This window comes from Homo sapiens, chromosome 16 (genome assembly GCF_000001405.40).
Source record: "Homo sapiens chromosome 16, GRCh38.p14 Primary Assembly".
Taxonomy (NCBI): domain Eukaryota; kingdom Metazoa; phylum Chordata; class Mammalia; order Primates; family Hominidae; genus Homo; species Homo sapiens.
The window spans coordinates 81,661,259-81,684,172 of NC_000016.10; the positions used below are offsets into that span (position 1 = coordinate 81,661,259).

General features: G+C 53.0%; 1 protein-coding gene and 1 long non-coding RNA gene across 12 annotated transcripts in view, besides 2 other annotated features; both read left to right on the forward strand.

Annotated features, from left to right (window-relative positions):
• CMIP (c-Maf inducing protein) overlaps positions 1-22,914 on the forward strand; it is a 266,955-nt gene that overhangs the window by 216,451 nt on the left and 27,590 nt on the right. For all 11 annotated transcript variants that reach the window (XM_047434717.1, NM_198390.3, XM_011523352.2 and 8 more), the window contains 4 exons: positions 3,011-3,091; positions 8,884-8,987; positions 10,708-10,812; positions 17,017-17,370. In XM_047434717.1, coding sequence (XP_047290673.1) covers positions 3,011-3,091; positions 8,884-8,987; positions 10,708-10,812; positions 17,017-17,370 — 644 coding nt within the window. The remainder of the gene's footprint in view (positions 1-3,010; positions 3,092-8,883; positions 8,988-10,707; positions 10,813-17,016; positions 17,371-22,914) is intronic.
• Positions 370-1,267: an enhancer, noted in NCBI's record as "H3K27ac-H3K4me1 hESC enhancer chr16:81695233-81696130 (GRCh37/hg19 assembly coordinates)". NCBI's record gives its function as "activates a minimal SCP1, AML or CMV promoter by ChIP-STARR-seq in primed H9 embryonic stem cells {active_cell/tissue: H9 hESC(primed)}" and the evidence as "EXISTENCE:reporter gene assay evidence [ECO:0000049][PMID:30033119]".
• On the forward strand, positions 4,096-6,018 carry LOC100129617 (uncharacterized). The gene has a single exon (NR_045112.1). It is a non-coding gene; the product is annotated as an uncharacterized LOC100129617 (long non-coding RNA).
• Positions 21,704-22,499: an enhancer, noted in NCBI's record as "H3K4me1 hESC enhancer chr16:81716567-81717362 (GRCh37/hg19 assembly coordinates)". NCBI's record gives its function as "activates a minimal SCP1, AML or CMV promoter by ChIP-STARR-seq in primed H9 embryonic stem cells {active_cell/tissue: H9 hESC(primed)}" and the evidence as "EXISTENCE:reporter gene assay evidence [ECO:0000049][PMID:30033119]".

Sequence of the window (22,914 nt, forward strand, 5' to 3'; positions counted from 1 at the left end):
AAGGTTCCTCTGCGCAGTGGCTGGCCCACGGTGGGGTGCGGCTGTGGGGCTTTCCCTGAACACGGGAGGCAGCACGGTGCTCCAGGTTAGCTTAGAGGAGCTGTGGAGCAGGGCATCCGCTGCCGGGCACCCGGCGCCAGCCTTGCAGTGGGATTCACATAGGACATGTCCAGGGCACATCTTTGTGGCTCAGGCCGAACCATCACACAAACCTGTTTTGTTCTTTGCTGTGTGGTTTTTTTAGTGTAATAATTTTATGTCCTTGGAGAGACATGTTCTCAGCACTCCCCTGTCATACCCCTGCTGCCCCGCTCAGCTGGTCCTCATCCCTCCCCGCTCCCATTACCTGCCTCCTGCCACGGTCACCCGCTGTCCTTTGGAGAGGCGTGGGCTGTGTCCAGCAGTGGGACCAGCCTGTGGGGTGGAACAGCAGGCCCCTGGGAGGAAAGGGGGCTGTGGTGCGCTTGATTTCCCTTGCCGCCCCTTCCCGGCCCCCCACCCCTCACCCCAGGGAGTCCTCTGTGTATGTGTCAGGGGACGGGAGCTTTGAAAGGGAGACAAGATTCAGTTGTCCTCCTGGAGTCTGCCTCCCTATCAGGATTCCTTTTCTACCAATCCACACACCTTCTGGTCTGAGTGCCCAGGGTACCTGTCAGGGCCTGGAATGACCCCCACCCCCATCCTTAATGTGGGCATGTGCAATGTGTGCCCCCTGGCCCAGGGAGTGAACACCCGTGAGTGTGTGTGTGTGTATACAGGTGTGGATACACACAGGCCCCGGGCTCCTCAGGACACACAAGGGCCTTGTCTGCCTCCGGGACTCATGGGTATCATGCCCCCAGAAGAGTGGAATTAAATAACCCAGTATCCTGAGAGAACGGCCAGCTGCTCCTCTGCCTGTCACAACAGATCACCTCCTCCATCTCCTGTCCAATTTAACCCAAACCTGCCCCATGCTTGCCTCTCAAGCTTAGGATTTCACCCAGATCTCATGATTCTCAAAGTCTGGTTCTAGAACACTGGATATTTGTTGTAGAACAAGATACACTTGCCTCACTGTGTTTCCTACCTGAGGCTTCACTTGCCTCACTGTGTTTCTTACCTCAGCGTTCCTAGTAGCACAGTTTGGAAAGGGATGAGGTAGAAAAAGGTACCCTTTTTGGCATTCTTTGCTGTAATCCTGTGTGGGTGTTTCAAAGAGGGCCGTCTGCCTTTTGGAGGGAGGGGGGTCCCAGCCATGTGGGATGCTTCTTTGGCTATTTTGCCTCTGGGAGTTGGAGCCCAGAGAGGAGAGCTTGAGGGGACCAAAGCCTCCCGCGCTGCGTCCGCTCTGCCAAACTCCTGCCAAATTCCAAGATCTGAGGAAAGTTTATTCATCTTGCTTTCTCAGGGGAGCCCTGATTTCTCTTATCCCAGGTCTAGCATCCTCATCTGGGGGCCGGGTGGGTGATACATGTGTGCAGGACACGAGGGAGGGGCTGGGCCTTGTCCTCACAGCCTGTGAAGGGCTTCCTTTCCAGTATGAAAAACAAAACACCGCGCTGGTGATGAATTGGGTCTGCAGACTGCCACCCGAGTGCTAAAGCCACCAGTTGAAGAGTCACAGAATTTTCAACACCCTGGTGGTCAAATGCCAAAGCCCTCGTACTATCATACCCAATTTCCAAGGTCTTTCAGACCAAACATGCAGAATCTTAGCTTTACAGAAGTCTCATTATATATTAAATAAGGACCCTGTCAGAACGCCTATGTGTACCATCTGAAATAGTCTCAAGCTTTAAGGTCAAAACCAAACAAAAAGCAAACAAAAGCTCTCATCTCGTCTACTTTTTTAACTCCAAAAAAAAAAAAAAAATTTTAAGGCTATGGCACTCGTAGGTATTTCCCCAAATGAGTTCAACACACCTGTCCACACAAACATCTACATGCCGACGTTACAGCAGCTGTATTCATGACTACCAGAACGTGGAAGCACCCAAAATGCCTTCCAGTGGGTGAATGGATAAATAAACTGTGTAACAATGCAGTGTTATTCAGCACTAAAAAAAAAAACGAGCTAGCAGACCACGAAGAGAAAGGGGGAGCTTTAAATGCATATTAGTAAGTGAGAGGAGCCCATCTGAAAAGGCTGCACACTGCACGATTCCAACTACAGGACATTCTGAAAAAAGCAAAACTATGGAGAAAGTAAAATGATCGGTGGTTGCCAGGGGTTGGGGAGAGGGAGGGACGAATTGGCTGAGCACAGAGGATTTTTAGGGCGTGAAACGACTTCCTATGATATTACATTGGTGGCTCCAGGACATTAGACATTTGTCTAAACACCCAGAGCGCACAGCACCAAGAGTGAACCCTAAAGTCAACTGTGGACTCTGGGTAACAATGATGTGTCAGTGTGGGGTTCTCCATTGTAACAAATATCCCACAGGGTATACGTGCTACATTTGTTACACCGCACGGTCCTTTGGGGAGGCAAGGGCTGTGTCCACCAATGAGACCAGCTTGTGGGGTAGAAATGCAGGCACCTGGGAGGAAAGGGGACCGTGGTGCACTTTACCCCCTGCCCAGGGAGTCCTCTGTGTGTGCATCAGGGGACAGGAAAGGGAAACAAGATTGTGTTGTCCTCTTGGGCCCTGTCTCTCCACCAGGATTCCTTTTCCAGTGCCCCACATGCCTGCTGGCCTGCGTGCCCAGGGTACATTTCAGGGCCGCCTGGAACGCCCCCACCCCATCCTTAAAAGGAGCATGTGCAGTGATCGTTGGGGAGGCTGTGCGTGCCGGGGGCAGGGGGTATCTGGGAAAGGTCTCTACCTTCCTCTCCGTTCTGCTCTGAACCTAGAACTGGCCCCCCTCCAAAATAAACTCATTTTTAGAAAGCAGTGCAGCCGTGTTCATCAAGGGAACCCAGGCACCCACAGCTGGGCTGACTGTCCCCAGCCCTGCTAGCAGCCACGGGCTGTGTTCAGAACATTCTTAGGGCCGCAGTAACTGTACCCCACTCTGTCCCCAGCACTGCAGAGAGCGGCCCCGGTCCATGGTGGTCATCGAGGTGTTCACCCCCGTGGTGCAGCGAATCCTCAAGCATAACATGGTGAGTCACCCTGCCCCAACACCCAGACCCCAGCGCCCAGAACATGAGGCCCCGCGCGCCTCCCTGGCCTTTTGCGTTGGCACAGATTTGGGGAATGTGGTTGGCCCAGCGTGACAGCCAGGAACTGGGGTTGAGATTCTGGTTAAGGACTTTTGGGGGTTTTGTACAGCTTGTCCTCCATTACGGCAACAGGAAGAATCTTTTTGCAGTTCCTAAGAATTACAAAAATACCGCAGCTGGAGGAGAAGAGGAAAGCCTCCCGGGAAGAATAGGCCCAAATAATGTCTGTAGATGCCCTGCCCTCAAGGACCCAGAGCGCGACTTTGCACTCCTTTAGTGTGTGCTGCGCACAGCGAGGTCCTTCCAGAGAGCACTGTATGGAAGGGGGCAGGAGTAGCCTTGCAGTGGAGAAACCAGACACACTCAGCCTCAGCCAGGTGATCAAGGTCAACATCGACAACAACAAGCCAGTTAGACAGAATATTCCCTTCATAGGACGTATAAAAACGACACTTGACCTCTATGGTCTTCCTCCCAGTAACCCATCACCCCATTCCAATCATGAGAAAAACATCAGACAAATCCCAACAAGGGGACAGTCTACAAAGTACCTGGCCAGTACTCCCCACGGTCAAGGTCATCAAAAACAAGGAGATTCTAAGAAACTGTCACAGCTCAGAGGAGTCTACGGGGGCGTAACGACTAAATGTCATTTGGGGCTCTCCATGGGATCCCAGAACAGAAAAGGGACATGAAGGGAAAACTGAGGAAATCTGAATAAAGCTTGGCCTTTAATTTTTTTTTTTAAATACAAAAGCAGGATTTAATTGCACACTTAGAGCGGGTGGGGCGCTTGTAATCTGTGTGGCCCCTTGGTGTTCCCTCATCATTCCAGGGACAGCAGCAAATGCCATTATTTGCCCTGTATGTCACGAGGAAACTGAGGCTTAGCTAGGTCCACTAAGTGGCCACAGGGACCACAGGTAGGAATAAGAATAACATCTTTTTGCAGATGCTTATTGAACACTTTCTTGGAGTCAAGAGTGTGGTGCTCTTTGAGTGTATTGTGTTATTAACCCTCATGCCATTCCCATGACACCTGTGCATAGGAGGAATCTGGGACCCAGAGAGGTGGGACGGGATAGGCAGGGTCTGATGAGCAGCTGTGGGTGGTCCTGGTGGGAGCTAAGGAGCAGGCAGCCTGAGGCCAGGGCCCATTCCCAATCACATGTTGTACTGAGCCAGCCACCACGTTAGATTTTAGAGTCTCCTGGAGCACGTGAAAACAACTGAAAAAGGGTAACCACACATCATTTCACTTGTGATGTAGCTTGCCTGTCTCCACACCATGCCCCTGAAGAATAGTATATCACCTACAGCCCCTTCCCCAGTCAGGAATGGAAGTGCATGACACATGTGCTCCTCTACCCCTTCCATGCTCATGGCAGACATCATTAATCAATTATAGCACTCTTTCTGTAGAGCCAGAGACAGCATCACACTCTTTCCCCTCCTGCATTCCAGGCCACCACTACCAACTGAAATCGTGTTAGTACCATAATGAATGCTATGTACCATTCTCTACCCTAAGCGATTGCAAACTGTAAATGAATTGTTGCTGATTTCTGAGCCCCTCCTAGATTTGGGGTAAATTCATTTCTTGTTTTCAGAACACAGGGGATAGGGACACCCTGTGCAGTTCTTTCTCCAGGACAAGGAGACTCCCCACTGGGGGATGGGGCGGGGTTTCTGCCTTAATTTGGGCGCTCATAGTTTCAAGGAGGAGCTCTTTCTGGCTTTGGCCAGCTAGAAGGAAAGGTGCCCTGTTTGTTAACTTTAAAATCACTACGGGTGTAGTGTATGGAGTGGGCTGTGCCATGCTGGAGTTCAGAGCAAAGGTTCTTCAGGTTTTCTTGCGAAGGACCTTAACTTGTCAATGGCAGAGCCACACCCCCGGGACATACTTGGCAGAGGAATGCCTCTTCAGGCACATAAACATTTTTGCATACTCCATGTTAGTCAATAAACCGTTTCATAAGGGTTCTTTGAGGACATCTGACTTCAAAGGGAAAAAATTCATAATTCAGACAGGCTCTCGGGGCTTCACCATACAACGCCTTTCTTGTATTTGGTTAGTTTTATGGGCCTGGAGTGTTGACCATGTATTAATTTTCTCTATAAAAATCAGAACCGCTCTGGGCAGACCCAGAATTTATAGTATCTGTGGCAGTCTGGCAGAGAGTAGGGACCCTCAGCCATGAGTCCTCGCCTCACTTGTAACGAGTACCCCCTAAGTGATCCCAGGTGTCTGGGGATGCTTTAACGCACCCAGATCCCACCTTGCTCTTGGCGCCTCCTAATTACACACCATGAGCGGCGGCGGCAGAGGAGAACTGCTGGGAGGACCGAGGAGGATCCGCCTCTCGTGTAGAAGAACAGACTGTATTAAACAGTGATTATGGCCATGCCAGGCACAGGAAGACCTGACCTCATGGAATCCTAACAACACAGGCGGTGGGCGAGAGAGAGCTTTGACATTTACTCACTGAATGCGCCCTGATGCTTAATGAGTGGCACGGGTCAGCAGCACCGTTGTGGAGCTGGGGCTCTCAGCTGGTGTGGGGGGGGGGTCATGTCTCTGGCTAAGGAGCGTACCTAGCCTGCCTAAGCCATGAGCCTGTTGGGGTGGCATGAACAGTGACTGCTCTTCACCCCAAATGCAGTGTTTCTCCTTAAGGAGGCACTCAGACATTTAGGAAACGGGGGGAACGTAGCCACGGTGCTGTTCTGGGATTTGGGGGCTCCCCCATTCTGGGTGCATCTCTTGCAAATATGTTATGTGCTCCCTTTCACGGATGAGCAAACTGAAGCTTTGAGAGTCTCAAAGAATGTTCTTTACTAGACTGAAATAAAAACTAGAAACAAAAGGAAGCGGTTCTTTAGTATGTTCCTCTGGAGATTCAGTCCAAATAATTCGCCAAACTGCGTTCTGAAGAATGACCATGTATCTCTGTGCCCCCACGCCACTCGGAGTGTTCTTGTGGCAAAGGAGGCGAGAAGACACGGCTGTGGTCCCCAGTGGACCGTCAAGTAACCTAACCTCCAGTTTTCCAAGGGGAGCGTATTTTTCAGAGGCTGCTGGATCCCTCTGTAAATGTTTATTTCCATGGAAATGACCTTGATTATTCAAAAATCTAATAGCTAAGATGACAGTTACCTTAAGTCTCTGTTGAAGCAGTTTACAAAATCATAAAACCCTCGTGGTGGAAGGGGGCTAGAGATCACTTCTGTGGACCCTCATTCCATAGTGGGGTCAGTGAGGCCCAGAGACAGACGTGGCAGCCCAAAGCCAGATTAAATACTTGTGAGGCAGAGGCCTCATTTTCTAACCCAGGAGGGAGGGAGGGAGGGAGAGAAAGAGAGAGAGAGAGAGAGAGAGAGAGAGAGAGAGTGTGTGTGTGTGTGTGTGTGTGTGTGTGTGTGTGTGTGTGTTTGTGCTCATGCCAGTGCGTGCATTTTTCTGAACTTGCTCCGGGGGCTCTGCCTCCCTCTTTATGTAGCAGGACAGTCCTAGCAGGCAGACGAGTGAAAGCTCCCCCTGCACTGTCTCTCACAAAGGACCCCTTTGACTCCACATGAAGAAGCCCCCAGCGGCTCTAGAAACTCTCTCCTGGGAGCCTGCGGGAGGGAGTGGTAGGAACGGGTTCCACTCAGAGCTTTCATGCCAGCTTCGGGGTCAGTTAGACCTGAGGGGGGTCTCTATTTCTGTTCTACAGCTTGAAGTCCTGATGCAGGCTGCTCTCCTTAAAAAATGGGTTCCACTGAGATGGGTACGGAGGGACAGGTCTGGAGACTCCAGGCTCCCCTCCGTGGTCAGCCACATCACGTTTATGGAGGGTCGGGGGCAGGACGGTGCCGCTCCTGGGTGGCCAGACACAGCCCGAGGGGCTGGCAGTCCCAGCACCTCCGCAGCCCTGGCCACGACCCTGGGAATGAATGCGGCGGCCAGATTCACAGGCCCCTGTCCGGCCCGTGCCTCTCTCCTGCACCTCTGTTCTGCTCCTGGCAAGCCCCAAGCCCCCCACTGGGCTGGGCGCCGACTTCCTGCCTCCTGGCAGAGCTCTCTGTGCCGTGGCCCCTGTCTTCCTGACACCTGGAAGAGGCCGAGCACGGCAGCCACCACATATGGCCCTCAGCCGGCACAGGCAGTGTCCCTGTGTCCTTGACCTGGCCCCTTGACAGAGCCCCGCAGTGGACACTTTAGTTCCGGGGGCCTGGTGCAGGCGCTGCTTTCCCTAGCGTGGCACAGATGGGGCCTCCAACCAGGGTGGTGTCCCTGTCCCCTCATCATAGTGACACGTGCCAGTGCCTCCCCTGCCACTAATGCCTGGTGCCCAACTCCTCATTGCACATGTATGCCTCTGTCCACAGCAGCCTGTCACAAACACACATCCATTCACACCCACCTCACACTCACTGCCTTCCACACCCACCTCACACTCACTGCCTTCCACACCCACCTCACACTCATTGCCTTCCGTACCCACCTCACACCTTCCACACCCACCTCACACTCACGGCCTTCCACACCCACCTCACACCTTCCACACCCACCTCACACTCCTTCCACACCCACCTCACACTCTCCTCCTTCCACACCCACCTCACACTCCTCCTTCCACACCCACCACACTCTCCTCCTTCCACACCCACCTCTCACACTCACCTCCTTCCACATCCACCTCACACCTCCACACCCACCTCTCACACTCACCTCCTTCCACACCCACTTCATACCTCCTTCCACACCCCTCTCACCTCCTTCCACACCCACCTCTCACCTTCCACACCCATCTCTCACACTCACCTTCCACATCCACCTCACACCTCCACACCCACCTCTCACACTCACCTCCTTCCACATCCACCTCACACCTCCACACCCACCTCTCACACTCACCTCCTTCCACACCCACTTCATACCTCCTTCCACACCCCTCTCACCTCCTTCCACACCCACCTCACCTTCCACACCCACCTCTCACACTCACCTCCTTCCACACCCACTTCATACCTCCTTCCACACCCCTCTCACCTCCTTCCACATCCACCTCTCACCTTCCACACCCACCTCTCTCACCTCCTTCCACATCCACCTCACACCTCCACACCCACCTCTCACACTCACCTCCTTCCACACCCACTTCATACTTCCTTCCACACCCACCTCTCACCTCCTTCCACACCCACCTCTCACCTCCTTCCGCACCAACCTCTCACCTCCTTCCACACCCACCTCACACCTTCCACACCCACCTCACACTCACCTCCTTCCACACCCACCTCACATTCACCTCCTCCCATACCCACCTCACACTCACCTCCTTCCACACCCACCTCTCTTCTCCTTCCACACCCACCTCTCACACACCTCCTTCCACACTCCACATTCCCCTCGGAAGCACCCTCTCTTGTCCCCCCAGCCTTTCTGGCTCTCTTTTCTCTTTCTCGTCTCATTTGTCTCACAAGTGCCTTTTGAGGGTGGCTTTCTCTACAGCCAGAAGCACCTGCTCATCAGATGGTCCTTCAGAGTGGAAGCGCGGGTGTCGCAGTGCTATTCTTTGAAGTAGACGCCACCTGTGCTTTCCAGAGGGTTGGTGTCTCCCCATTGCCTTCCACATCAACAGCTCCAGGCAGAGCTCGGTCCCGCCCTTCTTTCTGGTGTCCTGGCTGCCCTGGGCTCCTGCCCTGCCTAGCACCGTCCCGACTCCTGTCCTCTGCTGTCTCCACAGGACTTTGGGAAGTGCCCGCGACTGAGGCTGTTTACTCAGGAGTACATCCTTGCCTTGAACGAGCTCAACGCGGGGATGGAAGTGGTGAAGAAGTTCATTCAGAGGTGGGTCTCCGGCGCGACGTCCCTCTGTGGCCTAGGAGCCACTTTCCTCTCGGATCCTGTTTACTCAGATATCCACGGGGGGCTGTCGTGTAATTAAATGAAGACTCCCTCTATGAGGAAGCCCCTAGCCTACTGCACGGTGCCCGATAGGAACTCGGACACACTGGACCTCAGCAACACTGCTGTTTCCTCAGGTCCCACGACCCCTCAGGCTGTAGGTGCCACATGTTTAGGACTCTGTCCCACCCCTGGTGGTCCCAGAGCGTCATCGTCGGGTGCTTGAACAATCACCCCATAAACATAACCAAGAGGAAGCCAAATGTTCTTGCTCTTACTCACTTTTGGTTCTTGGGGTTGGTGTTTTGGGTTTTTTTTGGGGGGGGGGGGGGTGGTTGCTTTTGCTTTGTTTAATTTTAAATTTTCTCTCGGTGCTCCAGTTTCCTCATCTGTCACACAAGAACCATAGTATCCCTCGCCCAGTTAGTGTGATGCTCCAGTGAGTAGGAGACACAACACATGGAGAATGCTGCGGAAGTCTCGTGTCAGGCCGAGGTGTCATCATTCTTGTTCTTCTCATCTCTTTTGTTTGTTTGTTTGTTTTGAGATGGAGTCTCGCTCTGTCACCCAGGCTGGAGTGCAGTGGCTCAGTCTCGGCTTACTGCAACCTCCGGCTCCCGGGTTCAAGCAATTCTCCTGCCTCAGCCTCCCAAGTAGCTGGGATTACAGGCACACGTTACGACTCCTGGCTAATTTTTGTATTTTTAGTAGAGATGGGGTTTCAACATGTTGGCCAGGCTAGTCTTGAACTCCTGACCTCAGGTGATCCACCTGCTTCGGCCTCCCAAAGTGCTGGGATTATAGGCGTGAACTGCTGCCCCCAGACTCTTCTCATGTTTTAAGAAAATCACAGTAACCCATTTAAACAAGTTCTGAAGCTACGTATTTCCTAAATATGCCCACTTGGAACTCACGAAGTCGTTTGAGGTTGGCTTTGTGACATGCCCTCATGCCAGAACCGTGGTGACACCACCCAGTTGTGGTTTGCAAAATCTTGTCAGGTTAGGGCATTCTTAGTGACAGCAGCCTCGATGACAGCTTCCCAGAAATGGTACAGGTGTTATCCTCAGGACCACCAAAATAGCCAAGACAAGTAATAATTAGTGGCACTTATTGAGGACTTAGTAACTATGTTGGTGACTCTATGCTAAGCCAAAATGACCCTCATCATTTTTCTTCCAAAGCAGGATATGTTTGAAAGTAAAATGAGGTGTTAGGAATAATTAATTATTCCTGAACCACCAGGTGTGAGCATGACTGTCCCAGGACGTATGGCCACCATTTGCTAGGTCTCTCTGTGAATTAGAAAATTTGGTCCTAACTGTACCCCAACTGAGGAGGGGGCTGCTATCCTCATTTTATCGCTGCAGAAACAGGGTGGAGAGTTTAGGAGGTTTCCAAGGCCACTCAGGGGTTTGAACCCGGGAACCCTGGATCCGGAGTCCACAGCCAGGAGCTTTGCCTTCTGCTGCCTGCACGTGGCACAGCCGGGGCCCAAATCCTGGTGCCACCAATTGCACAGTGAAGGCTCTCAGAGCCCCCCAAGTGGCGCTGGCAGAGCGGGCAGCCCCGTGCCTGAGCAACGCCCTCCCTTTCCCCCCTTACCCTGTCCATGGGCCCCACTCCTGCAGGCTTCTCACCCCAGCCCTCTGCTTTTTTCCAGCATGCACGGCCCCACAGGGCACTGCCCCCACCCCCGGGTCCTGCCCAACCTGGTGGCCGTGTGCCTGGCTGCCATCTACTCCTGCTATGAAGAGTTCATCAACAGGTCAGTTGCTGAACCACCGCCACCCAGAGGGCTTGGGAGGGGCAAACTGCCACCCCCATCATGGGCAAAGTCACCAAGAACTGACCAGGCCAGAGAGGTGGAGTGGCTGTTTACTGGGCAGACCTCATGGTGTGTTTGCCAGTTCCCCTGGGCACATTGATTCATGGGCCCAGAAGCCAGGGATGCTGCTGAAAAAGCAAGCACTGAATCAGCACCGCAACTGCAAGGCTGTTAGAGCTGCTTGGCTTTAGGGACAGATGTTTTATGCTGAAGATTTCTCACCACTGGAGAGGTATGACACACTGGTGTGTGTGTGTGAATGTGTGCACATGGGTATGCAAATGCATGTGTGCACTGTACACATACATGTGACTGTGTGTACGTGTGTGCACATGGAGGTGTGAATATGTGCCCGTGTGTTGGGGACAAGGGTTGACAGTAAGGTTTATCCTGTCTAGTCTTGGCTTTGAGAACACAGGCTTTTGCCCATGATTTGCATGGTTTTATTTTATTTTTTTGAGACAGGGTCTCACCCTGTCACTTAGGTTGTGCGGCAATACAGTGGTGCAGTCATAGCTCACTGCAGCCTCAAACTCCTGGGCTCAAGCCGTCCTCCCACCTCAGCCTCCCGAGTAGCTAGGACCACAGGCACATGCCACCACTCATGGCTAATATTTAAAATTTTTTTGTAAAGACAGGATCTTGCTGTGTTACCCAGGCTAGTCTCAAACTCCTGGGCTTAAGCAGTCTTCCCATTTGGACCTCCCAGAATGCTGAGGTTACAGGCATGAGCCATTGCATCTGTTTTTCTTGAGCGCCTGCTGTGTGCTTGACACAATTTCAGTGCTGGAGAGCGAGCAAGATCACAAATTCCCTGCTCTCTTGGGGCTTCCATTCTACCAGGAAGAGATCATGTACAAGTAAATGTGCAAGATCATGTCAGAGGGTAAGAAAAACCGTGAGAGCAATAAAACCGAGTGGTGGGGTAGCAAGTGACCGGAAGAGGTGGCAGGGCAGGGCCACGACCTGGCTTTGGAGCCTCCAAAAGGAAACTCCAAGACCAGGATTTGGGTGGAAGTGGCTTCCTAGGAAGGTGGTCCCAGGAAACACTGGGGGACAGGGAAGGGAGGACATCAGTGAAGTATGAATTAATAAGCAGGTGAGGCTGGGCGCAGTAGCTCACACCTGTAATCCCAGCAGTTTGGAAGGCCAAGGCGGGCAGATCACTTGAGGTTAGGAGTTGGAGACCAGCCTGGCCAACATAGTGAAACCCCGTCTCTACTAAAAAAATATAAAAATTAGCCGGGCATGGTGGTACATGACTGTACTCAGCTACTCAGGAGGCTGAGGCGGGAGAATAGCTTGAACCTGGGAGGCAGAGGTTGCAGTGAGCCAAGATCACACCACTGCACTCCAGCCTGTGCAACAGAGTGAGACTCCTTCTCAAAAATAAATAAATAAATAAATAAGAAAGCAAGCAAGCAGGTGACCACTTCAGGCAGCTGGCATGCACTCCCACTGTGCCCCAGGAGGCCGTGCGTAACACACTGAGAGTTGCTCTGCTGAGAGTTGCTCCGCCGAGGCTGGCGGTGCTGGGATAGTCACTCACCAGCTCCCATCCCTCGCTGGCTGAGAACTGCTCCCGGGATGCAGACTAATGCAGATGCCATTAGTTTATGGGGAACTTTCTGCAGTGACCTCTGGTGTCATTGGAGAGGATGTGACATGCAGAACACAGTGGTCTCTGCTGCAGCCACCCAGTTGTTCAGGTGGTACACTACACAACTCCAAGGAGACCAACATGAGTCCAGACCCCACCAGAGCTGGGGATACAGCAGGAGGGTATTTCAGTCTTTTCTCAAAATGAAGGCAGTAGAGCATTCTGAGTCGCTGAAAACCTGTACAGGGGGGATTTCTCAAACAAATGCCGTACTGCTGAGTTCTTCGGAGGGGCAGGAAAAGGCATTTGATAAATCAGGGGCTGTTTTCTTGCAGCAGGGCATGAGAGAGGGTGACTCTTTTAATGCCCTCAGCCTCAGGTCCCGATGTTCAAAGGGGATCATGTCCCACCTTGAATCACTTCCCTGATCAGAAGGAAGTGCAGGGACTCCAGGGGCCAGAATGTGGAGATGGGAGGCTGCTCATTCCCAAGGGCATGTTCTGGAGCTGACAGCACGGTGAGGCAAAAAGAGGAGAAAACGGAAGCCAGAGGGTAGTATCAGGCCTGCCCTTTTGTATTTTTAGTAGAAATGGGGTTTCACCATGTTAGCCAGGATGGTCTTGATCTCCTGACCTCGTGATCCACCCACCTTGGCCTCCCAAAGTGCTGGGATTACAGGCGTGAGCCACCGCGCCTGGCTTACAGTATTTAAGTTATACCCAGAGTGTGCAGGAGCCAGCTCACACGTTACATTTGGGAACACATCCCTTCCCAGTTCTGTAATGATATCATATTGATAGCTTGAAGTAGCTGTGGTGAGTATTTACACCAAAGAAATTGGTAAACACTGCAGATCAGGGCTTCTTTTTTTTTTGAGACAGCTTAGCTGTTGTCGCCCAGGCTGGAGTGCAGTGGCACAATCTTGGCTCACTACAGCCTCCACCTCCTGGGTTCAAGCGATTCTCCTGCCTCAGCTTCCTGAGTAGCTGAGATTATAGGTGTGGGCCACCACACCTGGCTAATCTTTGTATTTTTAGTAGAGATGGGGTTTTACTTTGTTGGCCAGGCTGGTCTCGAACTCCTGACCTCAGGTGATCTGCCCGCCTCGGCTTCCCAAAGTACTGGGATTACAGGCGTGAGCCACCACATCCAGCCAGATCAGGGCTTCTTTCTTTGGAGAGTTGGTTGTTAGACATTTACCAGCGTACTTTGGGTTATATGTCAATTTAAAAAAAGAAAGAAAGAAAGAAAGAAAGAAAAGGGTGCCCAGGACCCTCCCAGTGCCATTCTGATTTAATTAGGATGGCCCTGGCATCTGTTTTTGGAAGGAGCGTTGGGGAGGTGATATTTACGTTAATACCTCCTGGCTGTTCTCCAGGCAAGAAGCAGGAAGAGGGTGACCCAGGGAGAGAACCACATGGAAAGGCCTGGCAGTGATGGGTGAAGGTGCCATTCGTCACAGTGTTTTTGTTTTTGGTTTTTGGGTTTTTTTGGAAACAGTCTCACTCTGTCACCCAAGCTGGAGTGCGGTGGCGCAATCTCTGCTCACTGCAACCTCTGCCTCCTGTCTTCAAGCAATTCTCATGCCTCAGCCACCCAAGTAGCTGGGATTACAGGTGTGCACTGCCACACCTGGCTAATTTTTTTTTTTTTTTTTTTTGTATTTTTAGTAGAGATGGGGTTTCGCCATGTTGGCCAGGCTGGTCTCAAACTCCTGGCCTCAAGTGAAATGCCCCCCTTAGCCTCCAGAAGTGCTGGGATTACAGGGGTGAGCCACCATGCCCGTGTACAATGTTTTTGTATCTACGGGTCCTTGAACCACTACTTCAGAATCACCTGGACTGCTTTAAAATAGATTCCTGGCTGCAACATTTCTGGGGTATGGCCCAGGAGTCTGCATTCTAAACAAACTCCACAAGTCATTCTGCTGCACACTGAATATGGAGGTCCCTGCAGGGGAAGAGCTGAAGGAAATCCAGTGTGACTAGAGCAGAGAGAGGAAAGGGAAGCAAAAGATGGAGTTGGAGAGGAGAGAGTGCTGGGCCATGAATAGCCAGCTTCTCAAACCTCCTGGTGCCTGGGACTCTCTAGGGTTGGAGTTAAAATGCAGATTTGGATTCAGCAGGTCTGGGGCGGGGCCTGAGACTCTGCTTGTCTAACAAGCTCCCAGGCGAAGCTGCAGGCTGGGGATCACTCTGTAAGTAGCAGGGTTGTCCTGGGTTTCAGTGGCAGAACTTTTATCCTGGGAACATTGGAGAGTCCACAGTGGGTTGTAAGTGGAGAAGGGACGTGATGGGATTTCAGTTCCATTCCCCTCTGGCTGCTGCTGTGAGGAGGATGGAGTAGGGGGCAGGCGTGACCCTGGGGAACGGTTAGGTGGCTGTGGCAAGGAGATGCCAGGTTGGAGGCGTGGCGAGGGTGAGATGGTGCCTGCTGCCTCGTGCCAGCCCTGGCTCAGCTGTGTTGAGCCCCCTCGGAGCCCACAGTAGCCTGGGTTCCAGCTGATGCCATACATTTCCTGGATATCACCCAGAGAAGCACGATGCTGCCAACACGTTTCGTGGGCTCAGGTCCATGACGCCCCCCTCAGCCAGTCCCTTCAAGATAAAGTCCGTCATGTCCTCCAGGCCGTCCCCAGTGCTCTCGGTGGGCAAATGTACACAATGTACTCACACTGAAAAGAACAGACAACTTGACCCAGGTTAGCGTGGCTCTCTTGAAAATCACCAATCTGAGCCAAACAGCCTTGAAAATCCACTTTTAAAACCCAGCAACGGCAAACAAAGAGAAATGCAGTGTTGAGTACTTGGGGAGCAAATCAGATCTGGACCAGAGAATTTAGGTCTCCCCCCATCACAGACCACACACAAGTTGTTATCAACGATAGAATTCTCGGACTTTAGCCGATGGATTGTTTATTTCCCCCAGCAAAGCTGAAAGTGTATTTATTAAACACCCTTGGTGGGCTCAGCTCAGGCCTGGTTCCTGGCATGTGCTGGATACATTCAGACCCTTGCTGTGCATGGGGTTCAAGTTCTGCACACAGCCCTTGGAGGGGCTATTCACGTGCCCCCTCCCACCCCTTCCCCCAGCTGCAACAATTCCCCAAACACAATGCCAGCTGTGTGGCCCTGTCCTCAAGCCTGGGAGCCCCTTTAGAGGCACAGGACCCATGCATGTGACACATGTGGGGAAGGACTAGACAAGCAGCTGTTTTCAATCGTGCCGTTGTGCTCGAAGTCTTGGATTAGTGGATCTCAACCTTGACCACACACGAGGAGCCTTAAAAATTACTCATGTCCAGGTCGCATCCTGGAGATTCCTGTCTAACTGGGCTTTGGGATGTTTGGAAGTGTACCCAGGGGATCCTGGTGTCCCGCCAGGGGTGGAGAGCTTTGGTTTAGGAGGAGTTCGAGGGTAGGAAGGGCAAGAGTAGCAGGAAGAAATCAAGGAAGACTTCCTGGAGGAGGGGACCTGCACAGCTCTTAGGGGACCTTGGAAGCCAACCTAGTTAGGAGGATCCTGGGCTTTGGGGTCCAGGAGATCTGGCTTCAAATCCCATCTCCGTCGACTCATGGGCTGTTTAATTAGGGGTAGATCATTTAACTTCTGAGACCGTCTTTCCTCACCTGTGGCACAGAGACGGTCGGAATCACTGTTCAGTGATGTGTTTGAGCATCTGTGTGACTGCACTTAGCACCTTGCCGGCCCATGGGCACCAGCAGAGGAACCCGTTGATGGTACTACTGTCCCTTATAATGCACCTCCCAGGCAACTGGGCACGTTGGGAAGCAGTCAGAGGAGGGGCTTTAACCAGGTCAAGGCTCTGACAAGTCCTGCCATTAAGAGGCCTAATTTCATCTTGTTTGCCCAGTGTTTGCCTAACAAATGTGAGATTAATAATGCCATAGAGCCCCTTTCTGGGTTAACATGTGTTAACACCTTGTGCAGGCTTCTGTTCCTCTGGGCAGTTAAAGATGCTGTGCCTGGAGGGTTACCCAGGAGGAGTGGGGGTTCCGCAGACAGAAGGGCAGATACTGAGCTTGCTCACTTGGCTGGGTTTGGGGGCAGGAGAGCAGAGTCCTGGAGGACATTGTGGCATGAGGTCAGGGATTGGAGGGCAGTTAGACTGCAGGAAGCTACTAAAAGCAAAACAGTAGATCCCATTGGCTTATCAAGAAAGTGGCCAGTGGCATTTTGGTGGAGGAGAATGCCAAGAGCCTTATGGCTGTCACGTGAAGATCAGCATCCACTCAGTCGGTCAGCAAATATTTTTTGAGCACCTGTTATGTGCTGGGGTGATAGCATGGGCTGTAGAGACAGGCAACCTGGGTTGGGCTGCCATCCCCACCTCTTCCTGTCTAGACCTTGGGCAAGCCGTGCACCCAGGCTGAGCCTCAGTTTCCTCATTTGTAGCACAGGAATGATGATAGTATTACATTTTGGCCTCATCCTGGGATTCAGGGAGGCCTTTAGTCTGATGGGTCATGGTGCATCATGAACGGTGCCTGTACTCATGTGCCCTCTCCCGCCTCTTCCCCCAGCCGCGACAATTCCCCAAGCCTGAAGGAAATCCGGAACGGCTGCCAGCAGCCGTGCGACCGGAAGCCCACTTTACCTCTGCGCCTTCTGCACCCCAGCCCGGACCTGGTGTCTCAGGAAGCCACGCTGTCTGAGGCCCGGCTCAAGTCGGTGGTCGTGGCCTCCAGTGAGATCCACGTGGAGGTGGAACGCACCAGCACTGCCAAGCCGGCGCTGACGGCCAGCGCAGGCAACGACAGCGAGCCCAACCTCATCGACTGCCTCATGGTCAGCCCCGCCTGCAGCACCATGAGCATCGAGCTGGGCCCCCAGGCCGACCGCACGCTCGGCTGCTACGTGGAAATCCTCAAGCTGCTGTGAGTGCCCCCCCCGCGTGCCCGCCCCCGGGGCCGGTGGGAGGAGACTGGGCTTTGCTGCTGGGTGCGGCTGTGTTTGTTGGTTCGAGCTACGCAGGGCCGGGCATGGTAGAGTGGCTTGTGTGTGAGTGCACACGAGCTGGTGTGTGCAAGAGTGTGCATAAGCACAAGTGTGGCTGTGAGTACAGGCATACAGGGTGCATATGTACAAGTGGGTGAGGCACATGTGGCTCTGGTTGTGTATCTGTGAGCATATGGTGTGTGTATATACACACGTGGGGTGCATGCATGGCTTTGTACCTGTATGCTTGAGTGCCTGGGCACATGTGCAAGGTGCATGCCCAAGCATACATGTGTACATATGTCTACATGAGTTTGTGTGTGTGTGTGAGGATCTGGATACATCTGCCAGGGTGTGCAGGAGCACAGGGGTGCCCAAGTGTGTCTTTGAGTGTGTGGACATCTCTACTGTGTTGGGTGTGTGGGATCCTTAGAGCTTGTGAGTGTCTTTGTGTGCCTGAACGGCCATGGGTGGATGTGGGTGCGACAGCACACGTGGTCTGCCGAGTGTGTGTGTTTATAGGAGAGATGGGTGTGGGCATGCCTGTGGATTTCTCTGTAGGGATGTGTGTGTGTGTGTGTGTGTGTGTTAAATGCACAGCAGTGGGTGTGTCTAGGCACTTGGGCTAGTTTTGTGCACTAGTGGCTGTGGCTGCATGCATGTGGGTGTAACCATTTGTGCTGTAGGGTTAGAGAGCATGTGTGTTTCTCTGTATGTTTGCAGGTATGTGCATGAGCCCATGTATGTGTGTGTTGTGTGAGCCATGCATGCCGTGTGTCTTTGGGGTGTGAGTATCTGTGCATATGCATGTGTCTGAGTGAGTGACGGGTCATGTGCAGGAGTGTGTGAGTCTGTCTTGGGTATGTGGCTGTGCGTATTTGTGCCGTGTGCCTGGGTGTCTATGTGTGCACATTGGTGTTGTGTGTGCCTGGGTGTGGGTGTAGGAGACCCGTGGACCCGGGGCTGCTCTGGGTGGTGTGGCTTCTGAGCTGGCTCCTTCTGTGCCTGTCCCTCCCCGTCCCTGAACCTCAACTCTGTGACTCTAGGGTGGAGGGGAGTACAGTTCTTAATCCTTGACCCCTAAGGGTCTCTCCAGCCTTGCCATCCACACGCTCCACCTGACACATCTCAAACCCGTGAGCACCTGGTTCTGGGAGCCCCAGTTTGAGGGATCTCATTGACTGTTCCCTTCTGCCCCCCACAGAGCCATGTGGTTCCACAGACCAGCTCAGGTCTGCAGACACTCAGCAGACACCTCCCCCTTTCTCGCTCCACAAACTCCTTCCTTCGGAACAAGCTCTGCCCCACTCTCAGGAGTTTTGAATCCAGAGACAGGCATTTTCAGATGCAGCTGCATGTGGTTGCTGGACCTTTCGGAGGGGTTCGGGGTATGGCTGTGTTGTCATATTTAACCAATGCATGGTGCCTGTCTAGAGCCAGGGCTCCCGGGGCCCTCAGCCTGCAGGGAGGCCACTCGGAAGCCCGGTGCCTGGGGTGTTGTCTGTGTGGGTGGGTGGGGTTTCCCTGAGCCCCTGTGTCGTCACGCGCTGGGCAGCGTTTGGTCATTCTGTCATGTATGTGTTGTGTTGCTCCTGGAGCCTGCTCAGGGTTTCGAGGGACAGAGGGCAGCTTCTGAGGGCCTGGTGAGCTGGAGAAATGGCTGGGAGGCACCCTGGGGTGCCCCCTGTGCTCTGCTAGCAAGGCCTGTGGTGTCTGTGAAGGTGAACATGCGCACACACGTTCACAAGGTGGCTGCTGCTGGTTTGAAGGAGATCGTGGAGGCAGCGTCCCCACATAGCCTCCTCTGCCCTGGCTTTGGCCCCGGAGAGGAAAGGGTGGGGTGTGCCCAGGGGTTCAGGACCAGCCCCGCCTCGTGGTCCCAGCAGCAGAGGTCAGGTGAGGGCATAACCACATTCAGTGACCGCCACCCCCAGCCAAGCGGAATTCCAGATCCCACTAAGAGAGCCACTCCAAGAATACGTCACAGCCCTGAGTGTCTTCAAGGCAGAGAAGGGTGCCAGCTCTCCCAGCGGCAGCCGGGTTAGGGCGCCTCCCTGGATTTTGGAGGGGGCTCCCTGCTCTGATGGAGGTAGAAGCCTCCAGGCCAGAGAGTGGCCCCGCTGTCCACTCCAACTCCCCAGTTCCAGCTGGTTTTTGCAAACACCGTGAGCTCCTGGGCCTTCTGGTATTTGGGGCCTGACTCCTATTTCTCATTAAGCACTAAGGGTTTGAGTTTCAGCACGCAGTTGACACACATTTTTTCCTTCTTCATAAACATGCTCATGAATGGGGGCTCTGTTCTCCCCCATCTGCGTCCAGACCCCCTGCCTGCCCGCATCACCCAGCTGCCAGGGTGCAGGTGGGGGTCAGGGCCATCGCCAAGGGCCCAGGACAGTCAGGGCAAGCCAGGACGGGTTCCCGATGGGGCTACGCAGAGGAGCAGGTCACGCCTATCCCCAAGCCCTCCACAAAATGGGATTATGCTCCTGGCAGCCTCTTCCATCTTCGGGGAGCTCAACACAATTTGGGCCTGATAACTGTATTTTCCCAACAACTTTCCTCCCCACACCCAGCAGGCTGCTTAAGTTGCTGGCTCATTGGAGGCTTCAAACTGGTTGGACCCAAACAACCCCAGCCGCTCAAAGGGCTCCAAAGTGAGATACGTCAGGAAAGGCACAGACTCAGAGTCAGACCATGCTAGGTTCAAGTCTCACCCGTGCCACATACTAGTTGTGACCTTGGACGGTTGGTCATCCTCTCTGAGCCTCCGGTCCCAGGCTGGGAGGTGGCGCAAGTATGGCTGCATCTGGCATTGGCAAAGAGATGGGAGGGGCCAGCCCTGAGTGCCTGGCGCAGAGCAGACACCTCTGCGAGGTGAACACCTGGCCAATGGGAGTAGCCGCCGTTTATGATGCAGCCATGTTCCCGCCGCTTGACCATACTATTGAGGGCGAGATGCGTCATTGATTCAGTAAGAGTGCTTTGAGAGAGAAAAGCCACATGGCATTTATTGCACACCTGGATTGCAGGAAACTTGCCTCCTAGCATTGAGGAAATGCAGCCGTGGGCCTGAGCTGCTGTGGAACTGTGGCCAGTGTTCTTGGCTCCTCTGGGCCTCAGTTTTCTTGTCTGTAAAATGCATGTCTTCTCGGAGGACTGCATGAGAATTCAGGGATGTTGGAGATTTTTGGTGCTGGCCTAGCCTCTGGTTCTTGATAAGAGTAAACTGCTGTTGTCAGCCTGGTGCGGTGGCTCACGCCTGTAATCCCAGCACTTTAGGAGGCCGAGGCGGGGGAATTACTTGAGGCCTCAAGACCAGCCTGGCCAACGTGACGAAATCCTGTTTCTACTAAAAATACAAATATTAGCCGGGTGTGGTGGCGGGCGCCTGTAGTCCCAGCTACTCGGGAGGCTGAAGCACGAGAATCATTTGAACCCCGGGGGGCGGAGGTTGCAGTGATCCACGATTGCACTGCTGCACTCCAAGCTGGGTGACAGAGCAAGACTCCATCTCAATAATAAAAGCGTGAACTGCAGTTATCAGTATTGAAGTGCTGCCCAAATGGGAGTTACACATAAAGAAAAAAAGAAGCAGCCAGGCTCGGTGGCTCACACCTGTAATCCCAGCACTTTGGGAGGCCAAGGCATGCGGATCACCTGAGGTCGGGAGTTCGAGACCAGCCTTACCAACATGGAGAAACCTCGTCTCTACTAAAAATACAAAAATTAGCCTGGCGTGGTGGCACATGCCCATAATCCCAGCTACTTGGGAGGCTGAGGCAGGAGAATCACTTGAACCCGGGAGGCGGAGGTTGCAGTGAGCTGAGATCACGCCATTGCGTTCCATCCTGGGCAACAAGAGCGAGACTCCCATCTCCAAAAAAAAAAAAAAGATGACTTTATGTGGAATTGAAGGGTCTTAAAGAGGACGTTGCCAGGCGGGGCTCAGGAAGGCACGCTTAGAGCGAACCACATCCATCGGAGAGGGCAGTGCAGGTCGCAGGGTGCACAGGTCAGTGTTTCCCGCTCCACTGCCAGGGAGCAGGGGTAGTGGGGCGCAGGCCCTGATCAGTTGCTGCGTGTTCCCATAGGAAGGCCCCTGCATCATTAGAATTTGACACTTTTGAAAAGTAACCTAAGTTGCAAAAATTTCCTGGAGGTCCTTGAAAAGGAAAACTATTCCAAATGCGGGTCGAGGTTGATGGTGAAAAAAATCACCGCATGAGGCGCAGGAGGGGTGAGGTGATGAAAAGAACGTGGATTCGGGAGGCGAAGAAGAGCTTTGGGATTTGTAGTCATTTGGAGTCCAGCTCTTTTCCTGCTGGGCACCTATGTATGATTCACACCTTCATTTATCCACCTGTTGATTCATTCTTTCATCCAGCTTTTGTTGTATACCTACGCCAGGCCAGACTCTATGCCAAATGCCATACTGGTCCCTGTACTCAGTCCCTCTGAACCTGAGTATTGCCAAGTGCTAAGAGCAGTGACATCAAGCGCTCAGTGCGGCTGCTGTAAAGCTCAGATGGGGAGAGTGTGGAAGCCGTGGCCCACTGGGGCCACAGGGGTAGGACGCGCTTCTGATTGGCTCCCGTCGACCGCTTGGGACTCTTTGCAAACATTAGATTTTAAGAGGCCTTGGTGGGCTGCAGCTCAGCTGGAAGAGGCCCCTCCCTCGGGGAACTTCAGGGAAATGCAGATGAATTTGGGGTTGTCCTAATGACTGGGAGGCAGGGCCAGGGGACATCCTGTATTACCTGCAGTAGTTCCGCTCACTGCAACCTCTGCCCCCCAGGTTCAAGCCATTCTCCTGCCTCAGCCTCCCCAGTAGCTAGGATTACAGGCGCCTGCCACCAAGTCTGGCTAATTTTTGTATTTTTAGTAGAGACGGGTTTTTGCCATGTTGGCCAGGCTGGTCTCGAACTCCTGACCTCAAGTGATCTGCCCACCTCAGCCTCCCAAAGATTACAGGCATGAGCCACTGTGCCCAGCCTGTTTTGTAATTTTTAAAAAGTCTTTGATTCTTCTAGGTAGTTCTTTCTTATATGTGTTTATTTTTTCTTTTTCTTTTTTTTTTTTTTTTTTTTTTTGCGATGGAGTCACGCTCTCTCACCCAGGCTGCAGTGCAGTGACGCGATCTCAGCTCACTGCAACCTCTGCCTCGCGGGTTCAAGCCATTCTCCTGCCTCAGCCTCCCCAGTAGCTGGGATACAGGCATCTACCGCCTAGCCCGGCTAATTTTTGTATTTTTAGTAGAGATGGGGTTTCGCCATGTTGACCAGGCTGGTCTCGAACTCTTGACCTCAAGTGATCTGCCCACCTCAGCCTCCCAAAGTGCTAGGATTACAGGCGTGAGCCACCACGCCCAGCCTGTTTGGAAACTTTAAACTGCTCATTCCTGGAGCACATGATAACTCTAGAAACTCAAAGGTCCCTGGAGCATTTAAGGCCAGCAGATGTGCTGTGGGGCCTGGGAAGGTCCC